At 38.9% G+C, this 22,193-nt stretch overlaps 2 protein-coding genes across 6 annotated transcripts in view, besides 2 other annotated features; one reads left to right on the top strand and one right to left on the bottom strand.

The window, feature by feature from the left end:
* CDC40 (cell division cycle 40) overlaps positions 1-14,157 on the bottom strand; it is a 51,806-nt gene extending 37,649 nt beyond the window's left edge. The window contains exons 1-2 of one of the 2 annotated variants that reach the window (NM_015891.3): positions 13,951-14,157; positions 1,316-1,402 (exon numbers count right to left, since the gene is read on the bottom strand). In NM_015891.3, coding sequence (NP_056975.1) covers positions 1,316-1,402; positions 13,951-14,139 — 276 coding nt within the window. In that variant the 5' untranslated portion in view covers positions 14,140-14,157. Of the gene's footprint in view, positions 1-1,315; positions 1,403-13,950 lie in introns of those variants that run through there. The other variant, XM_047418862.1, reaches the window with a different exon arrangement.
* Positions 14,885-14,994: a silencer, noted in NCBI's record as "silent region_17466". NCBI's record gives its function as "represses an Ori minimal core promoter by ATAC-STARR-seq in GM12878 lymphoblastoid cells {active_cell/tissue: GM12878}" and the evidence as "EXISTENCE:reporter gene assay evidence [ECO:0000049][PMID:35858748]".
* The window catches only part of WASF1 (WASP family member 1), a 79,852-nt gene continuing 72,572 nt past the window's right edge, over positions 14,914-22,193 (top strand). For 2 of the 4 annotated variants that reach the window (NM_001024934.2, NM_003931.3), the window contains exons 1-2: positions 14,914-15,145; positions 15,842-15,986. The gene's annotated coding sequence lies outside the window, so the exon portion shown is untranslated. The remainder of the gene's footprint in view (positions 15,146-15,841; positions 15,987-22,193) is intronic. The other 2 variants (NM_001024936.2, NM_001024935.2) reach the window with 1 other exon arrangement.
* Positions 15,235-15,554: a silencer, noted in NCBI's record as "silent region_17465". NCBI's record gives its function as "represses an Ori minimal core promoter by ATAC-STARR-seq in GM12878 lymphoblastoid cells {active_cell/tissue: GM12878}" and the evidence as "EXISTENCE:reporter gene assay evidence [ECO:0000049][PMID:35858748]".

The raw sequence follows: 22,193 nt of genomic DNA, 5'->3' as shown, positions 1-22,193 counted from the left end.
AAAAATTAAAATGTGCCGTCGTGTCAGAGCATGGGAAGATTTTTGCTAAGTGCAGACTCAGTGAATCGCTGGAGCTCTGTCTAAACACAAGCACTGACAACTCTGGCTGTGCTACACATTTCAATGGTCATCTTTTAAGTGAATACAGAAACCTAGGCAGGAAAAGTACTATATGAAACAGCTCTGACTCTAACATGTCACAAAAGGGCTAATTTATGCTACAAAATGAAAAATGTTACATCATTTTCCCCCAAGATACCATAAGATATAGCTCCTCACCTCCATCTTGAAAGTGCTTCTTAAAGATTCTGATATCAACCGAAGCTGTATTTCTTGGTTTTATAATTACCATTTTCTGGCATCTCTATTTCATCAATCAAGCATTCTTTTCCATTTTAAAAGGCAAAATATCTAGAAATTTAATCTTTTCTGTAAACTTCCCTAAATGGATAATATTCAAAGACTTTCTTAAATGAACAATATTTGCGGTTTCTGGTTTTTTTCATCAGGAGACAGAAAAAAAAATCCAGTACTTTGTTTTATTCAGAGCAGGCATCAAACACTGTGACTACTTTCTGGCAGTGCATCAGTATGACACTTCAGGGGCATCTGTAATTAGATGTTTTGTAATATACTACATATTGATGCTGGTAAGCCCCAATATTTTCCTTTATGGTTAATTATAATACTCCCTCATGAAGACTGAGAGGAAGATGTCAACTAAGTTCATATTTAAGAATCAGATTTCCTTTTTCAAAAGACATAGTTCCATGTTATCAGACATCTGTATGTAGACAGATAAGCAGCTAGTGGATTTTTAAAAGTATTTTCACAAAAGCACACTACCTGAACTTTTGGAGAATAGAAGGATGTATTTTCGGCTGGGCGCAGTGGCTCATGCCTGTAATCCCAGCACTTTGGGAGGCCCAGGAGGGCGGATCATGAGGTCAGGAGATTGAGACCATCCTGGCTAACACAGTGAAACCCCGTCTCTACTAAAAATACAAAAAAATTAGCCAGGCGTGGTGGTGGGCGCCTGTAGTCCCAGCTACTCGGGAGGCTGAGGCAGGAGAATGGTGTGAACCCAGGAGGCGGAGCTTGCAGTGAGCCGAGATTGCGCCACTGCACTCCAGCCTGGGCGACAGAGCGAGACTCTGTCTCAAAAAAAAAACAACAAAAAAGAAGCATGTATTTTCTAAAAACTTAAATAGTATGCTTATGTGATAAAACTTTTAAAAATTCACTGCTGCACCTAATTATCTACTATGATTTAAATTCTTTAGCAAAAGTCAGAACCTTAAGTATGTTTTCTTACCTCAGGAGCAAACATGGTCTCATAGGTAGGATTATACTGAACTTCTTTGACGGCAGGGTCAAGGTGAACTCCAGTCTCCAAATCTTCCTAAAAAGAATACCAAATAAATATTAATGATCTGATAAATGACTATTTTATTTTAGAAGCCACATTAAAGTCACACTAGCCATCTTTAACATCTATTTTATGGTTATAACTTATCATATGATTAATAATTCTAATAAAATTAATGTATACAGTTAGAGGTTAAAATACATAAAAAAGTTTCTTTTTGAAATACTGACTTTATTAACAATTTAAAATTTTTTAATTTAAAACTAAATAAGTTAACATTACTCAAAGCCTTAAATTAGTTTAAGAGATTCCAACTCTTCTTTGTTATTAACTCAAAAGACCCGAACCTCTACTGCCAAATTCAAAAGAGGTATTTCTTTTTTTACTCAGCAAACTGTATTAGATATGCAACCAAATTGCACTTGGTTGGGTACTGGAGAGGAAACAAAAGGAAGTGACAGGGCCTGAATCTTCTAAATCTAAAGTCTTATAATCTCAGTTAATATTTCAAACATCTTAAATTCATTCCCCAGATTACTGAAAATAAACATCTCATCTCCACTGAAGAATCACTGGTAGTATAACTTTTGTATAACTCCACCACTTACAAATACGATAATTCTCAAATTGGTATCTTTAGCCTGGACCTCCCCTGATTTCTAGAGACTTGTATATCCAACCTTCAACCTGACATCTCTTCTCCCAGGATATCTAACAGACATCTCAAACTTAATATATCCAAAAGGGAGCTCGTGGCCTCCCCTCCCACAATGAATCCTTCCAGCCTTCTCTTAGTTAATCACAATTCCACCCTTACAGTTGCTCAGGCAAAAATCTGGAGTTTTCCTTGATTCCTCTTTATTTTATAGTTTGTATCCAATCCATCATCAAGTCTTCTACCTTCTACATAAATCCAGAATTCAACCACTTCTGAAGTCCTCTATTGCAGTGGTTCAACTTAACATCTTGTATCTGGGTTTTTGGAGTAGCTTCTTACCTGGTCTCCCTGATTTCTGTCCCTGACCACCTACAGCCTCACTTCCCACAGGAGATAGTATGATTCTTTCAAAATATTAGTCAGGTTATGCTACTCCTATGCTCTAAACCCCCCAGTAACCTCCCCAGTCAGAGTAAAAGCCTAACAAAGGCCTGACAACCACTGGTTCTCAGGAAGTAGGCAGGTTCCCTAGAGTAGTTTTACAGGGCATTTTTGTTTTCCTGTATTGTCTGTCTGAACATTCACTATTAAAAACATATTTGATTGTAAGTACCTTTCCTTTAAATAGTGCACTCATGTTCTATTTTAAAAATTGTAAAGAAATTATATATCATCTACAAATTATATTTCAATAAAGTCAGTATTATAACATTGCTGTCATAAAATGACGGAGTTGAGTCTAACTGGTTGAGAATTTCCCCTCCATCATCAGCCCCCTGCCCCTACCAACTTCTGTCTTCATCTAGCACTATGCCTGTGCTCACTTTACCCCAGCCTCACTGACTCATTTGCTATTCCTAGAATAGGCCAAGGAACAATCCTGCCTTGGGGTCTCTATACTTACCGTTATTTCCTTTTGGAATGAAATGTTTTTCCTGTGGATATCCACATGATTGTTATCTCTCTTTTTAAGTCTCTGCTCAGTTTTTCTGCTTCCCCCTTATCTTGCTTTATTTTCCTCCATTACATTTATCCTCAGTGGATATATATATTATCTCTCTCTCTCTCCACTAAAATGTAAACTACACAAGGCGGATTTTGCACACACAAATGTATAACCAAACCCTTGAACTATCCCTATCATATCACCATCTTTAATCTGCTGGCCTCTTGTTCATGGCAGGATATATCCCCTAACACAATGCAAAGATAATGCAAAGTAACATCAGACATTCTGCAAAATAGGTGGGATTTCATGAAGCTGATATTGATGTTGGAGAAGCAGCAATGCCACAGACAAGTGAAGATCTGGTAGAGTTAGACCAACTGATGACCAAAGACTAAAAAACCAACAAGAAAAATAATACCATACCATAAGCCCACATTCACTGTTCCAAAATTTGACCACTCTAGAAAGACTTTACCATGGCCCCTGTATCAAAACAGGCAACTTAGTTTCTCTACTTCTTAAAGATTCAGAGCCTATCAGGTCCCTTGAGCTTCTCTCCTCTCTAAACTGCCCATATCTTTACCCTATCTTATCCTTTTCATGACTTCAATTACCACCCCCTATTTTTATCTGCAGCCTTAATCACACCTAACGATGACAATGTGGTGTGTGGTATGGGAAGCCAGGGTTGTCAGCGCCCGAGGAAGGGTTGGGGGAGATCAGCTGGAGGAGGTCATGCCGGGCAACTGTGTAATCTAAGACCCTGGGGAGTTGGGGTCTTAGTTGAATATTCTGCCCTCCCAGAAGGCCAGCAAGGCTGACTCACCACCAGCCTCGTGCCCACTGGGCTCCCACCCCTTCCCAGGACCCTCCCCTAGCTCGGTCCCCCTGAGCTTGGCTTCCCACCCTGCAGGTGTCCTACTACAACCAGGCCACCCCAGGTGTTCTCAACTATGTGACCACCAACGTGGCAGTTGGATCCACATATCCAACTGCTTACTAAATTTCATTATATGAATGTCCCACAGCATCAAACACTATGCTGTGTCCAAAACAGAACTTACCATTCCCCCATGACTCCATCTTCACTAATAAATCAGGCATAGTCTTGCTGATTCTACCTCTGAATACTTCTCTAGTAATCTCACTTCTACCCTCCTCTCTTTGCATCCCAGCTACAATGGCCTAGTTAGGGCTTCATTATATCTTGCCTGGCCTATTGTAATACTTCCTTATCTGCTTTAATACACCCTCACTTTTGTCATATTAGACTAATTGCTGATTTTTAAAAATAGCAAGCACTTTGATGCTTTCTGTGCTGTAGGCAATGTTACCGCCTTGTACCTTAGGCAATGCCTTTATTATTTTATGCCGCCTTCTTATTTTTCCTGATACCTTCCCTCCTCCTGCCTCAGGAAAACTGTTGGGTTTTTGTTTGTGGTCCTAAAAAAATGCTGTACTCTATTTGATAGTACTTGTGATATATTATTTGTTGCACATGGCTTTTATGTACATCATATATCCTCACTGCCCAGTAGAACGCAGGGCATTCAGCACATATTCAATAAATATTTGTTAAATTAAATTGAAGACAGAAAAGCCAAATCTGTAGAGAAATTAAGTAGGATAAGGCTGACCAACAATCATTGGATTTGGCAATTATGTCACAAAAAACCTTTGTGAGAGTGACTGTTAGTAAGGACTATGGAAAGCCAGCTGCAAGAGGCAGAGGTGTAAATGAGGATCTAGAAAAACACCACCATATAAATCTGTACTGAAAATATTTGGTGGTAAAAAACAGAACAGATGGGGTGTCAGGTTGAAGGATTTTCAGGGTCAAGTTTTTCTTCTTCCTTAAGAAGAGACTAAGTCAAAGATGTGGTCAATCGTAGGCTAGAAGGCAGGTGATGGCAGGGAGAGACACATGACAAAAAGGACCAGATAAAGGTACAGTTGCCCTAGAAGAGGTAGGAGGGAATAAAATTCAGGACACAGTTGGAAGATTAGCCTCTGAAAAGAGGAGTGCTCTCTTTGGGATGAAATAGAGATGACAAAGGTAAGAATGGGTGATAGATGACAGATGTTTGGAGGTGTTGGGAATCATAATTGATCCTTTTATTTTCTTGGTGTAGTCAGGGTACAGGCAAATTTATAAAGCAAGCATGGAGCTCCAGATTCATATATTCATTCAACAGATTTTGATTGTGTGCCTACTATGTGCCAGGCACTGTCCTGGGCCCACAGAAATAGACAAAGATACCTGCCCTTGTGGAGTTTATATTCTAGTGGAGGAGACAGACAATAGACTATATAATATATAAATAAGTTTACAGCTCTCTAGAAGAGGCTAAATAATATGAAAAAAAAGAATTTAACAACACTAACATGCTAGCACCAGAGCAGACACACTATTTCATATAATCTGTGAGGTTAAGTGTTAGCAGGATTAAGTCACTTAACCCAAGCTACTAATAGAATAAATGGGAAGGGGAAGAGCTCAAAGTAACCACAATGAACAATGTTAAAGAGATCTAACTAGTGACAAATTAAAAAATCACTGGCAGAGTAACTAGGTGTATCAGTCAGGGTTCTTAGTTGCAAGCAGCAGGCTGATTCAGCATTATAAAATCCTTATGAGTTTCTCTTAGAATTACCAGGAAGTGTGGAGAATCAGCTTTGACAAGTAGGCAGAAATAAAGGGTCAGTATACACTTAATAGATGAAATCACAATTCAAAATTAATCATCACAGAACCCATCCAGTGAGGATAATTGTTTACCATGACTGAACACCACTACTAAACTGCTATGGCTACCACTGGATGCTGCTATTGAAACTGCTGGCCTGAGAAACTAGAAAACATTGACCATCATTGCCAGTTTAAGTCCTCTTTCCTGGCTTCTTTGTGGATAAATTTCAGATTAGAAAGCTTAGGTTGGTACATCTGTTTGGCTGAGCCCAACAGATACACCCACCCAACAGTCCTGAGCCTCAGCTGAAAGGGAGCTGAATTAGAATAATCTGGGTTTTCAGCTTCTGAAGATGGGTGATGAACAGGGATGTTCTTCAAATTAAGACCCTTAAGAAAGGGGTTTCAAATGCTAGGCCATTGAAAAGATGACAAATATTATCTATATCACCCTAGAATGAACACTAGAATCTTTACTGATGAAAGATACTATCTTGCACATGGCCCAATAGCAAACTCAGTACTATAAAGTTAACAGGTTACATACAAATTGTTTAAACTGCATAAAAGCTAAATTAAATGCTTTTCCCGCTTAATATTCAACCCCTAGTGACAAACTGCTTAAAATAACATGAGGCTTAGCCACATTCATATCTTCCCAAAGGATTTTATAGTGTATAGTTGCTAGAACCACTTTATAATATGGGATATGAGATCTTTCCAATTAAGGGTATTTAAAATATTCCAAATTGAAATTATTTTGAAGAGTATCATGACACATCAATTTTTAAATGCAAAGTACAATTTAAGAAATTACTGTTTATATAAGCAACACTGGCAGCCAATAAAAAATATAAGTAAGTCCCAGTCTCTGACTCCTGCTAAAATTATAGAACAAATTGAACAACTCTCAAGAAAACGAAGGGCTGTTATTTTACAGAAATTTAATTAGAAAACTTGGACAATACCACAACCTTGTTTTAATACCCATGAGGCATTCAATACCAATTAGGTATGCAATTGGAATTACCACAGAATAACAAATTATTTCTATTCAGTTTCAATTATCCACAAAAATTAAAATGCAGTAAGTGAAGGGCACCCTGTGGGTCAAATAAGTTTAAATAGTTTATCTTTTTGTTGATTCAAAGTAATTTGAGAATAAAACTGGGTAATATTCACTTTTCAGTCTTTTCCACATTTCTTCCTGTGCCCAAATAAGAAAAGAGACATAAAAACACCATGTAAACTGTAAAGCAGATCACAAATATTATTATTATAAGTTACTTATCAATTTATGGCATAGTTTTTTTTCCTCCCAGAAAACAGAAATGACTAAACTTCCTAATAGAAGAATTTAGGTGAATGATATAAAAGAACAGAACTTCAGATAAAGATATCCTCTGAGTTTGGCCCTTAACAGATTGCAGAGGGAAAAGGTCGTCCATTTGAAGCTCACAAATATAGGAAATACCACACATGAAAAAACTGAAAAATATGCCTCAAAATTAGAGGCAGAATTTTTATTTTACTTTAGTTGGCTATGCTAAGGCAAAGAATACATTCGGGGGAAGTAACATAGTCACTGGTTGAAATGAGAGAAAGCCAGATCTGCTTTTGTTTTTGTAACCTTAAAGTCACTTAATAACCAACTCTTGCAATCCAATAGGGTCCACTGCATGATTTCTAAAGTGCAAAACCTTACAATGTTGCATGTAAAAATTTTTATTGGCTAACATGGTGAAACCCCGTCTCTACTAAAAATACAAAAAATTAGCCAGGCGTGGTGGCGGGTGCCTGTAGTCCCAGCTACTAGGGAGGCTGAGGCAGGAAAATGGTGTAAGCCCAGGAGGCAGAGCTTGCAGTGAGCGGAGATTGCGCCACTCAACTCCAGCCTGGGAGACAGCGAGACTCCGTCTCAAAGAAAAAAAAAAATTTTATCCAGAAAATACTCATTGTCATACATATACTGGAGAACACAAATATGTGTAATTGGCGTTCCAGAAGAGGAGAATGGGACTAAAATAATATGTGAAGTGATAAGAACTGACAACTGCTAAGAAATGTCCAAAGGTCCACATTCCAAACCAATTGATCCACAATTAAAGAAATCCAACAAATTCTGAACAGAAAAAATAAAAAGAAATCTACACATGTGTATCCTATAATAAAACTAAAGAATGAAACCATATCTCAAAAAAATGGGGTGCGGGTCTTAAAAGGTGTCAAAAGAAAAAAGAAAATCACTTTCAAAGGGAAACAGCTACACCAACAGCTGATTTATCAGTAACAATGAAAATCAGAAGACAGTAGAATATCTTAAAAGTGCTGAGAGAAAACTGCCAGCTAAGGAAACAACCCAGTGAAAATATCCTTCGAGAAATACAGTTAAATGAAAGCATTTTATGTATTTATTTATTTATTTATTTATTTATGAGACAGGGTCTTACTCTGTCTCCCAGGCTGGAGTGCAGTGGCGTGATTCTGGCTCACTGCAACCTCTGCCTCTTTGGCTCCAGCGATCCCCCTACCTTAGCCTCCCAAGTAGCTGGGAAGCACACACCAACACACCCAGCTAATTTTTGTATTTTTTCTAGAGACAGGGTCTCTCCATGTTGCTCTGGAACTCCTGGGCTCAGGGGATCTGCCCACCTCGCCCAGCCAAAACTTTTTAAAAGACAAACTAAAACTGAAAGCATTTGCCACCAGTCAATCCTCACTAAAGGACATTCTAAAGACAGAAAGTGGTATCTTGCATATGAGATGTAAGAATCATCATCATTCACCATCATCTTGTGGAGGATGTGTGTGTATATGTAAGTGCATGTATTATACCAGACAACAACAGCTAAAGTAGGAGTACAGGGGATGTGAATAAAATTCAAGGGTTCTAAGGTTCTCGCATTGCTCAGTAGAAGGTGAAAGTACTGATCGAATGTGCTGTGCTTTCTAGGGGTAACCACTTAAAGAATAGAAACTGACTGCATGACTTAAAACAAGCACAGGGAGATAATGTAATGATTTTAAAAATCCAAAAGAATGGATGCCTAGCATACTAACTTTCTGCCTTTCTTTTTTTCTGTGATATGTGTTTATGACTATACTTTTAAAAAAATTGCCATGGCTGCACCTCACATGTTCTGATGTATAGTTGCTTAGAAGTGCAATTTCACAATTTTCAAATACGGAAATTTTATAGCTATCTTTTTGTGGTTAGTTTCTAGCTTAGGTGCACTGTGGTCAGAGAATACAGTAACAAGATTTTAAATCTGTTGAGACTAATTTTATGTTCCAGTTCAGGGGTGGCTAACTACAGTGTGTGGGCCAAATCCAGGCCACGGTCTGCTTTTTTGTACCAACAAGCTAAGGATGGTATTTGTATCTTTAAAGGGTTAAGAAAAAAAGATCCAGCACTTTGGGAGGCCGAGGCGGGCGGATCACGAGGTCAGGAGATCGAGACCATCCCGGCTAAAACGGTGAAACCCCGTCTCTACTAAAAATACAAAAAATTAGCCGGGCGTAGTGGCGGGCGCCTGTAGTCCCAGCTACTTGGGAGGCTGAGGCAGGAGAATGGCGTGAACCCGGGAGGCGGAGCTTGCAGTGAGCCGAGATCCCGCCACTGCACTCCAGCCTGGGCGACAGAGCGAGACTCCGTCTCCAAAAAAAAAAAAAAAAAAGAAAAAAAGATGAAGAAAAAGAAAGGGTGAAAGAGAGAAAGAAAGAAGTGACAGAAACTACATGGGGCCAGCACAGCCTGAAATATTTACTGTCTGGCCCTTTACTGAAGTTTGCCAATCCCTGGTCTAGCACACGGTCATTTAAAAAATGTTTCATTACGTTTCAATGTTTCAAAATGTTTCCAGTGCCTGAAAACAACATTCTGTGTTGCTAAGTGCCATATTCCCTAAGACCTTTAGATGCAGTTTACTAATTTTGTTGTTCACATATTCTGTATCATTACTGATATGTTTTTACTTGTTCTATCAATTATTGAGAGATATAAAAATCTCTCACTGTAATTGTATATTTGTCCATTTCTCTTTGTAGTTCTGTCAATTTTTGCTGAAATATTTTGAGCTTACATTGTTTTATATCTCTTTGTGAACTGAACCTTCTATCATGATGAAGTGACTCTTTTGTCTCCAGTAATGCTTTCTGCTTTAAAGTCTATTTTTATTGATGTTAACACAAACAGTGCTAGCTTTTTCTTGGTTAAAATTTGCCTGGTACATCCTTTTTATTTTTATTTTAGATCTTCCTGGAGGCGGTAGTAAGCATGGCAAGGCAAGAACAATAAATAAAAGAAATAATGATTAAAAGAAAGAAAAAATACTGTCATATTTGCAGCTGATATGGCTATGTAAGTAGTAGAAAGTACTTACATAGTAGTTAAGTTAGAAAGTTAAATAAATGAAAAATACAATACTGTTTATTAACAGCATAAAAATAAGATCCACCGAGAAATACCTCCAATAAAACTGTACAAGATTTTGATACAGAGACAATTACAAACTTTGGGAGAAAAAAAAAAACAAAACTAAAAAAAGGCCTAAACAAATGAACGGACATAACATTATCTCCAAGTTGACCTATGACTCAATGTACTCCCAAACAAAATCCCAACTGGGTATTAGCAGAACTTTCCAACTTAATTCTAAACTGTATATAGAATTACAGGGCCAAGAAGAGCCAACAAAAAAGGGCAAGGGAACTGCCCTATCACCTATCAAGCCATATTATTAAGAATGTTCGCACTATAGACAAAAGTTAATTTCATATGGATTAATGACTTAAATGTGAAAAGCTTTCAAGAGATAATACAAGAGAATATTTTCATGACTATGAGTTAAGGATTTCTCAAACAAGCAACAGGAACCCGATACATAAAGGAATAATTTGACAAGCACAGACTACATAAATAATTGTTTGTAAACAACAGGGAAAAGTGAGAAGACAAGTCACAAAAGAAAAAAAATTTGCAACACACACAATTGACAAAGGATAGTATCCAGAATATGTAAAGGTCTTCTAAAAATCAAAAGGAAATGACAACCCAATAGTTGCTTCCAAAGAAAAAAAAATTAAATCACCAATAACATATTAAAAGATACTCAACTGCAGGAAACAGCTCGGAAAAAACATAGATTAAAAACGCTGCAAAAATGTATTCTCTGCCAAAATGCTTGCTATTAATCATAATACAATTAGTCAACTACAGATGAATATATTTGCATGCTTCACATCTCCCTTGGTCATTTTCCAATTTTCCAATCATTTGCAATCATTATATTTACTATGTGTAAGTTTGTTTTCCCTTCATATAAACAAGTGTTGGTTCATAAACCAACAATGAGCAATGCCCTCTACGCTCTCATAGAACCCAGACCACTGGGTGGACTAGCCCCAGCTCTACCTCTAATGGACTTCTGGTACCTTACGCAGCCTTTCCTCCTGGGTTCCCTTATTTATTCGTGATTGCACTAAGTGAGCTCTAGACAAACACCCCCATCCCTGCCACTGCATGTCCAGCTCTAAAATTCTGATTCTTAATGTGCATACTTTTACAAGACTTTCTTTTTCATTCCATTCTCTTACCAAATATACTTCCCTAATCTTGTGTACTAGGCACTGGAGACACAAACGAATGGATACAACAGTCTCTGGACCCCAGGGTCTCACAGTCCAGAGGAAAGAAAAAGATGAACAAGTTACAGCAATGTGCTAAGTGCTATAGTTAAGATATGATAAAGGGGCTAAGGTAAAATAGGAGGAAACATATACACTGAGACTGAAGGACCACAGTGTTTGGAGTGGGGGAAGGAGGCACTAGGCAAGGGATTTCCAGGCAGAAAGACTAGCGTGGGCAAAATCTTCAGAGGAAGAAAGAAAATTCGGCTTTCAGGGCTTTGTAAAGAGTTCAGCATGGGAGAATAGCAGGACTCACATGCTACCAAAAAAACTTAGAAATCACCCATTGGACAACATGGTGTCTTTGGGCAGGGAAGTGATACGATGTAAGTGGAATTTACAAAGATCATTCTAAGTGCACTGTGGAGAAAAGAATGGGGTATAAAACTGGGAGACAAGAAAGGAAGAAGTAGAAAGATCAGTTAGAAGGCTACAACTGTCTGAAGAGAAATGATGAGAATCTGAACTAAACAGTGGCAGCAGAAGAGAGAGATTTGATGAATATCATTGAGTTAAAGTGGACAGAACCCACTACCCAAAAAGGCTGAAAGAGAAAGAAAAGAATAACTCCTGGGAGAAATAAGGAAGATATGAAGCCTGCACCAGTGAAAATAGCAAGGAAGGAGTTGATGTGAGAGAAATTAATGAAACAGCAATGTTAGAATCAATTGAATGACTAGCTTCAGGGGCTGAGGAAGAAGGAAGAGAAAAGGATACCTTCTTTGTTCTCGGCTTCAACTAGTGGGTGGATTGTGGGATGACAGATCAAAATAGGAAAAACAGAAGTGGATTTTGAGGGAAAGAAAATAATTTTTCGACACACTGAATTGGAGGTGGCTGAGCGCCAACCTGCAAAAGACAAATGTACAATTACTGTGGGAGATTTTTATATACCTCTCAAGATCGTAAGCTAGCAAGGAGGATAGAACTGGAAATAAAAGGATAGCAAGCATTTAATTAGTGTTCATTGTGTGTGGCACTGTTAAAAGGGCTTTACATCTTTTATGACAATTATTATAATTCTGTTAGATAGGTACTACTGTTATTCCTACTTTACAGATCAGCAAAAATTAGGTACAGAGCATTTAAGTAACTTATCCAAGGTCCCCAGGTGGGTAAGTGCTGGAGGCAGGATTTGAATTACAGTCTTAATTCCAGAGCCTGTGCTAACCATTTCACGGTGTTCACCTTGAGCTAGAAGCAGCACAGCCTGAGGTTGAAGGTATGGGAGAATATGTGGAATGCAAAGAGGACTAAGAGCAGAGTCCTGGGAAACACCAGTATTGAAAAGGGAGAGTAAAATAATTGGAACAGAATGCTGAGTAGAGCCCCATGGAAGCGAAACGGAGAGAAAGTTTCAAGAAAGAGGAACTAATGAACAGTGTCATTTGATGCAGACATTTAAGTCAGATGGCTGAACTTGACAACTGGAAGGCCTGGGACATCACTCACAGACAGTAGTTTCCCAAGAGGATAGGGCCAGACTGCATTGGGTTGAGGAGAAAATGAGACGAAGACAAAAAGAGAGCTCCAAAAAGCTGAGCTGTGAAAGGAGAAGACTCAGGAGGTTACTGGAGGGGCTTAAGTTTGGAAAGTTTTGTTTTGATAGGAAGTTAGGAGGATTCTAAGCATTCTTTCATGACAGATGTCCATTTTTAAAAAGTAAAATTCACATACAGCTTGTTAAAAACCTGTAAAACACTTCTTAAGTCATTAAACTAGACTTGGGGACATGATACAAAGGAATTTTTGGACACCGCCTCCCCTCTTCACATCTTGAGCTGATCACCTACCTCGGGCTCTACTGGGCCTACACTACCAATTGGTAGATGCTCTCATCAGGCTCCAGACACATCAGCTTTTCCTCAGTTCTTCAAACCCACTAGGCTCTTTGCGTTCTCAGGCTTGCCTGTCACCTCTGCCTGGAAACTCTTGCCTTATTAATCAGCTTCCTCCATTGAGATCATGCAGCTGTTTCTCAAATCCAAGGCCTTTTTCTCACTGTATTAACACACACAATCATAAAACATTTACTGCACTCTCACTAGTTGGCTCTGTGCTATATGCTTTATTTGTGTAATTTCACTCAATTTTCACACTCATCTTTTCATGTAGACAGATGTTTTGAAAATGATCTCCACTGTACAGGTGAGGAAAGAAAGGAGGCTGCATAACTTGTCCAAGTTCACACAAGTGGTGGTGCCAGGATTAGAACCTAGTTCTTCAAAAATAAGACAAATCGAGGCCACTGCTCACACAATACTCTAGTTTGGGAAGTCCTGATCTAATTTCACTTATGTTCCGAGATTACACCTGCACTTTCCAGGCTATGTCCCTAATCCACAAATTCAAATTTCATCCCCTCCTTCCACTTGCTTTCTGATGGCGGGAGGCAAGGGCAGAGAGCATCGGAGGGCTATTCCGAACTTCCAATTCTGCCTCTCCCGAGGATGCATGTGGGAAGGAGAAGAAATTCAAACGTTAGCAACTTATCTCTGAGCACTGAGAAAGAGGTAACCCGGTACCTAACAAGCGGCTGGCAGTTCTGGAGCTGAAGCCAACAATTCCCACACTGCATTAGTAGCAAAAGTGCTTACCTTAACTGCCACCTCCGGAGCCGAGTCCACTGCCACTGCTAGAGACGGCTTTGATGAAGGCGATTTAGTCAAGTGCATGAGGGAGTCGGCGGCTGGCAGCGGACACCGACTGCTCTCACTGTCCGAGTCCGATTCGGACCCTGAACCCGAACCATAGGAAGCGGCCAGAGCTGCAATCGCAGCCGACATGACGGCAACAAATCTTCTGCGGAGACCCTGCCAGGGCGGAAGAAGAAGAGGCTCCCAGGTCCTGACAGATTGCAATGGAACACATCATTAACTTTCTTTGCTAAGAAATAATGTCTTACATTTTGAAACAATAAGCTAATTATTATTAGAATAACTACTGTCGAGCTGAGAGCTTAAAAAAGTTTATCTAGGGAAAAAGGGAGAATTATAATAGTTTATAACATTTAGGACCTAGTTGACTAAAGAATATGAGTTCCAAAATACCTTGAGGCCTCGCGGTCCTGCACTCCCAGCGTGCAGCGCGGCAGGAAGCGCGAGAGGGCACAATGGGAAGTGTAGTTTGCAACGAGGGGGCGGAACGGGGGCGTGTCCCCCTTTGACCCCGCCCCCGAATGGATGTTCCATTCAATTGGCTATCATCTTCCCTCATTCCCTAGCCAAGCAGTGTTCTCTTCGTCCCCCTCCCCCAAACTGAGGATTGGGCAATACCACAGAACCTCAGGAAAGGGGGGAAGAGCGAGCTTCGGCCCCACTAATGGGGGAGTGGGCGGAGGCTGGATTTCCCACCTCGGCTGCACCTGGGCACTGGAGGCTGAAGAGGAAAGTGAGAATCTGAAGTTTTGAGACCTCTGACTGGCCAGGAATAGCTCCTGGGGCGGGGGGCAAGGATGGGACCATAGGCGGAAAGAGTCTCGCGGTCCCCCCTGCTTCTGGCGCGGGTCCCTGCGCCCGGTTGTGGAGCGTCTCGCGCGGGGAGGGGGCGGGGGGAACGGCAGCTCGCGGTGTTGTTCACTCGCGCGTCGAGCACACGGTGGGTCCGGCGGCGGGTTGGCGCCCCAGGCGGCGTTCCCTGTGGCCTGGCGCCTGGGCCGCTGCCCTGAGCGGGTTCCGCCCCAGAGCCCGACCCTCCTGGGGGCTCTAGGCGGAGTCCCGCGAGCCGAGGGGGACCGGCGACCGCTGCCGAAGCATGAAGAAGGGGTAAGGCGTGAGCCCCCAAGATTTCACGGTGAGCGCGAGTCCCTGAGGAATTGCTTTTTTCGGGGAGGGGGTGTTGGGAGAGGAACTCTTCCTTACTGGCCGGAGCAGACCGAGTGGTGTGTGGCCCGCAAAGGTGACGGGGATGGATGGGCGCGCCTTCCCCGCCCCGGCCCCCACCCCCATCCGCGGGTTTTCCGAGCGCCCACCGCCCACCCGCCAGCGGGGCTGGGTGCCGAGGGAGACGGCGGCGGGCGCGCCTGGGGCTTGGCTGCAGGGACCGCCCCGGGGCTGCTCTCGCTGGAGAGACTGTGGGTGTCACCTGAGGTGCCACCGCCCGGGCTTCCCTGCCCACCCGCGCCCGCGGTCCGCCCCGTGCCTCTTTCCGGGGGAGGCGGTAGCCCCGGGCGACAGAGAATCCCCTGCTCGCCCTACGTGCGCGAGGCTCGGTAAAGCGAGCTCGTGCGTTTGCGTGTTTGCTCCGCGAGTCGGTGTCTGAAAACATAACGGTAAAGCGAGTGCGGGCATCCTTTTCTTCGTTGGAAGGGGAGGCGAAGCGGTGCTGTCGCTTCTGGTGCCTGTTCATGGGGGCTGCCTTGGGCAGAGTTACGGAGCCGCTCACTCAGCGCTCATGTCGGCAGGACTCGCCCATTGTGCCACCCAGATAATTATTCAACTATGCAGCATCCATTGCACCTTTCCCATTTTTCTTTTCCCCTTGCTACAGCATGCCCCCTAGCTTCGGTACTCTGACACCTTCTCTTGCACTTGCGGATGATGAACTGGAATAACGATGAAAGAAAGCACATCCGATCTCAACATTCACGTCCTGCCCTATAACCGATTAATTAATTGATCCCCAGCTAGACTAGGTACTTAAATACGACTTACTCTAATCATTTCCTTTTCTATGTAATAAGATGTGCGGTGGATTCGACTTAAATTTTTTCTTTGGTGTTAGATTCACGATTAGCTAAGGTCTTTTTTCTGTTCACTAATTGATGTAATTGACTTATTGGTTATTCAATCCGTCTAATGTTCTTAAATTTAAATTTGCATGGTAGGTAACATTCATTTTTCTGATTGTTCATAGCATTATATCATAATTAGAAATGCAGTCTCAATTTGAACTCTCAGGAACAGTTTATCCTTTATGCTCTAAGTTTCTGTTAGGAAACATTTTTGTTTATATTGAATATTTGAATGAAGTATTTGATATAAAATTTCGGAAGTTTTGAATAAGAAAAGTTTTGTATTTGTTTTTCGGTAGCAGAATATGTCATTACTAATCGTTGCCTTCCATTGAATGGAAGGATTTAATATTTAAGATGAGGATTTTAACCATCATATCAGTCATTCCCTAATTTATCTGATTTTATTTTTTATTCACTTTTTTCTTTGCAATATCATGTATTTAATTACTTGTTTTAGAATCCAGTTTTTTTTTTTCTAACTTGAATCTACAAGTATGAGTAGGCTTCAGTTTTGCGTGATCTACCTGAAGGATGAAATTTTTTTTTTTTTGCAAATATAAGAAACCACTGTTGGTTACTTGATTTTTATGTTAAAAACTGTTTACATCTCATTATTTAAAAATAAATGATTCACTATAAAAAGTAAGTGTTGTATTTTTATAATTTTCCTTTTCCATCTTTCCTTGTTTAAGCTTGTTGCATTTACCCTTTTGATAAAAGAGAATCACATAAGCATTGCAGAGGCAGTTTTAAGGTATAGTAATTGTTTTATGGCACTTGGAAGTGGCGTACATATAATATAAGTTGATGGTGTAGGATTAGTTGCTTGGTTAGGAAATGACCTTGCAATTTACAAAATGGACACCTTTGTGCCTTGGTTTCCTTATATGTAAATGGAGATAATATTTAGTAGGTAGTGTGCATAAATTCAGGAAAGGTGTGTTTTTGTAGTCCTTTTAAAGAAAATTTAAATCTTTTAGCTGATGAATGATTAAAAAATTTCTGTGAAAAATACAATGAAAAAATGTCAGGATTTTCCATGGCATATTAGAATGGCTGATTAACATTGATTTTTGCTTTGGAGAGGTATGCCTCTGAACTGAAAAATGTTTCTCATCTATCAAGGGTTTTAAATAATTGCAGACATAAAGGTTATTACAGTTAATACCTACATATAGTTAAACATATAGATAAAATAGTTAATAGTAAACAAAAATTATGACTTGATAATAAGTAGAATATTGAATTAAGTTAGTGAAGAATAATATATTCGAAAAATATTAAGGCCCTTTTTGTTACAAATTTGCAGGTGTTACAATCCAAAATACATAGTTGTGATCATTTATAAGGTATGCTATAGAGTTACTTTATTACTCATGTTTGTAAATATTCATATATTCAGAGACAGTTTTAATATTGTATAAGACTATATTTAATTATACATTTTGCTTTATTTTAGGAATAACTTAAGATATCTTTTCCAAGTGTTGGATTTTCATTATCACAGTACATAGTACCTTGTGATTTCCTTATTGGACTACTATCAAAAGATTATGTTATTAGCACTTTTACCAAAACAGTGCTTTTGGTTACTTTGTGAGAAAACTTCATATAGATAAGACTATTAAAGTGTGTTTAAAGTTACTATTGTATGGTTTCGTTTTTGAGAATTTGTTTTATAATGTTTTCTTAAATGAATTAAAATTTAGCTGACACCGTCACTTGGGTAAATGCAGTAAAGTCGTGGTTTTTCTTAGTTCTTTGAGGAGAGAAACTGACCTGCAGCTTATTGTCATAAATCCAAAGTTGTTAGTATAGTGTTTAACAAATAGCAGGGGCTCAATTTTCTTTGTTGAACAAATAAAATGAATGGGTAAAGAATATCCATTGAATTAATATATTTAGTGAAACATTTTTAAAGATTTATCAAACATTATAATTAATGAAATGTATAACTTTATCTCAGGAGAAAAGAGAAAAATGAATTTCAAGGTTCTTTGAACTCCATTTACCTGCTCAGATATAATTCCATTACCTGTACACTTTTGAACTGGCACTAGATACTTAATAATGTATATGTTAGTAGTCTTTGATTTATGAAATATTAACAATTTTCTTCTTATAGCTCACTTTATGAAGATGTATGTTAACATATTTTTTGTTTTTCCTACACTAGATAGAAGTGTGTTTGATTCTTTGTGACTTACGTTTTCTAGTGAAATAGTAATAAAAAAGATATATGTAAATTAAATCCTATGCTGAATGCTTGAGTACCTAGTTGTTAAAAATAAATGACCCCTGAAGTGGAACTTTTTATAAAATTAAGAATCTTGTGTTTTAAGTTTATCACATTCAGCTTATAATTTTGAGTCTTTGTGAATTGGTAGTTCTAACTTACTACACAATTGATTACATTTTACAACTTGTAAAATGGTTTGGAACTTGAGTCTTATTTTCTCAGAAACAGTATACTTAGTGGTTAGAGTCACAGACAGCCCACTAAAGCCTATTTAAATAATAAAATACCTGAATTATAGGATTATGTTAATACTAAAGAAATTATAAAATTATGTTAATAATTAGCATAAGTATATTAAAATACCTATAATAATTTGTATGACAGTCTTTCTATGGGAAAAATAAGTTTCAGATGTACCCTGAAATGCTAGGATCTGTAACTCTTGTGTTAGACATGACAACATTATTAGGAACTTGTTCTCTTTCACCCAGTGGACTTGAAGAGGAGGCTGTTTCTCAGTTCAGTGAGTGGCATAGGCTTACATTATCTGGGACAAGAAGTTAGGGCATGACAAAAATTAGAAGGAAATGCAGTCTTCTGCGTGACTTTACTTCTCAAGATGTTTGATTATAAAATGAAAAGGTAGAAGTAGATGACTTCGGAGATCTGTTTTAGCTACAAATAAAATTCTAAGATACTTCGAAGCTTGGTGTAACCCCCTTTTTTTCCTGAGAGTTCATTTTCCCTAAAGTTACCGCTTACGTCCCTCTTATGAGGACATTTCTTCTTTCTGGACCTACCTCTGAAAAAGAAAGTAGTCTTGATCCTTTCACACGTGCCTGTTCTCAGAAGCAAGATTTTTTAGTCTCTTAAAGGCGTTATTTTTGTGATGGGTTTTTTGTTTGTTTTAATTTTTAAAAATAAACTCCCAGCACTGTCAAGAAACAGGATTTTTCTTTTGGATTGTTTCCTTTGTTTCCTTATTTTGAGCTATTGGTAAAGTCAGGGTAGATTTTATTCATACTTTGAAGAAAGATCATATCCAGTCAGTCTCCATAGAATTTTTTTAAGGAAAAAATTTTGGAATGAGGTCATGAAGTGGGAGTATGAAGATATAAAGATGGATTATTGCCCCATAAAATACGGGGCATCTTGTATTTGTAGCAGCCTTACCTGGGGTGCTATGGAGCTTTGGTATGGATGTGATGGAGCTGAAGGCAGATTGAGAAAGTGAATCTGTGAACTCCTTGAGGACAGTTTTGTTGTAAGCGTTTGGTTGTTTTGTTTTGCTTTGCTTCATTTTTGTGTTCCCAGTGCCTGTTTTTGGTTTAAGCTAAATGGATTTTGAGTGTATGCAATTACTACAGAATAAAAGAGAAGTCATTCTGTTCCATGTGGAAAGATCAGGGTGCTGTGAGGGAAGAGGTCATGAAACAGCTATTTTTGTCATATGCATTGGAGTATTTAATAATTATTTGGAGATCAGTGATATTCAAAAATAATGTGTAACATGGTCCAAAAGGAAAAGAAGTGACATTGCTTGCTTGCTAGATGTACAAGATTCTGTATAGATGCTGTCACATTTATTATTTATCTTGTTTAATTGCTATCATAGCCCTATAAGGATTTAATTGAAGAAAAAGGTTAACTGAATTGAACAAGTTGTTTGTTCTGCCTAGCGGAAGCCCAGATTGTTTCAGAACTGCTTTATCTCCCCTTTTACTGATAAGTTTCTGTTGGAGCAGTCATTTTAATAACTTGATAATAACAATTCTGCCTGCCTGCTACTGTCCCCTCATTTGTAATTGGTTCATTTAGTGGGTCCCCCTTGTTAAACCAGTGATTCATAGTTCATAATCAGCACATAATTATTGAGGGCCAAGTAGGTGCTAAAAAGGACAGGTCTCTATTCTCTTGGAGTTAACAGTATAGTAAAAAACAGGTGTTGAACAAATACATTTGTACTTAGAAATTTTGGTGAATGCTGTAAAGGAAAAGAAGAGGGAACTGGATTTACACTGGGAGTCAGGGGAGGCTTCTTAGAGGCAAGATTAGTGGAAGTTAGCTAGGTGGAAAAGGAAGAGAATTCAAAGAACAGGTGAAACAGTTAAAGCTTAGTGTAAGAGGGATTGTGACTTGATATGAGGTTGCAGAGGTAAACAGAAGCCAGACTATGCAGAGGGCCTACGTGAGGTTTGGTTTAACGAGGTTAAGGATTTTAAGTCTATTGGGGAAGGCCATGAAGAGTTTTAATCGGGTTAATTACTGGATCAGATCTGTCTTTTGTAAAGATCACTTTGGCTTGGAAGGGGCCAGAGATACCAATCACAATTCTGTTCATTTCTGTGGTTTATTGGCCTGGTTTTAGACACTTTTTTACTAAGCCAAGTCACTCAGAACTTTTCCTGGGTCCTCCATGCCCAGAGGTTGAATAATTTGTTTTCTCTTCAGTTGCTGAAGCTGTGAGATACAAAACTCTGGAACTGTTAATGGCCTTGTTTCTTGCCCTGTGGGCTAGATAAGCCAGGGCTTCTAGAACAAAGAGTGCAAAGAAGCAGATGCACAGAGTCCTGACTGTATTTGAGTTCCTTTGTCCATGGTCCTGAGATTGGGTTCCAGAGACATCCTAGTTACCTTTGTCATAAGTCCTCCTTTTTGCGTAAACTGTTAGAATTGTATTTGTGGTACTTGTCAACCAGCAAACTGAGTCCTCTCATAGATCAAGTAATTTGCTCAAGGTCACATGGCTAATAGAAATGGAGGTGGAATTTGAGCACAGATATGTGTGATTTCAAAGTCCCATTTTTTTCCTACTCCCTTATGCTGCAAAGGTACCATTTCTTAAACTAAAGGTCCTAAAGAAATTCTAAGTAGGTGGGTTTTGGGTGTGATGACATCTGTTGGATGATGATGACAGCAAAGTTTTTTTGTTTTTTTGTTTTTTTAATTTGGTGTGCTTGATAGTAGTTAGTCCAGCATGTAGCCATTCTTTATTCCTAACCTAGCCAGGTCTACTCCAATAAAGTTACATTGACTAACTTATTTGAAAAGAAGAAAAGCTTATGTGTCAGGGCATGGAATAACTTGTTTGATTCCTTTACCAAAAAAGTCAAGTGTGTTATGTTTTCACCTTATGCTACAAAAGTAAGTTTGTTTTCTAGTTGTTTTAATAGGGACATCTTGCTAAATTTGTTAAATTTGCTAAATTTTTATAACATGCATGTGCTACAGGTTATGCCAGAGAATTGTGAAAGGGTTAAACGAAAAGGGAGGAACAGTGAAGCATTTTATATTTTAGTCGAGGATGAAGACTAGCACTCACTTCTTAAAATTATTTTTATAGATTTAGAGGGTACACGTACAGTTTAGTTACATGGATATATTGCATAGTGGCAAAGCCTGGCTTTTTAGTATAGTGTACATTGTACCCATTAAGTAATTTCTCACCCCTCACCCACCATCTATCCTTCCACTCTTCAGAGTCTCCATTATCTATTATTCCACTCTTTATGTCCATGTATACAAATTATTTAGCTCCCACTTATAAATGAGAAAATATGGTATTTGACTTTCTGTTTCTGAGTTAGTTCACTTAGGATAATGGCCTCTGGTTCCATCCATGTTGCTGCAAAAGAGATTATTTCATTCTTTTTAATGGCTGAGTAGTATTTCATTGTTTGCATTTAAATTTTCTTTAATTATCCATTGATGGACACTTAGGTTGATTCCATATCTTTGCTATTTTGAATAGTGGCACTGATTTTTTTTTAAACCAAAATAAAAGCCCTGTGTGGTACATCATAATACACAACTACAAATTTATCAATTTTGTTATTTTCAAGGAATCTTCATTTAGTTTCATTGTT

This window comes from Homo sapiens, chromosome 6 (genome assembly GCF_000001405.40).
Source record: "Homo sapiens chromosome 6, GRCh38.p14 Primary Assembly".
Classification (NCBI taxonomy): domain Eukaryota; kingdom Metazoa; phylum Chordata; class Mammalia; order Primates; family Hominidae; genus Homo; species Homo sapiens.
This window is presented reverse-complemented; position numbering and strand designations above follow the sequence as displayed.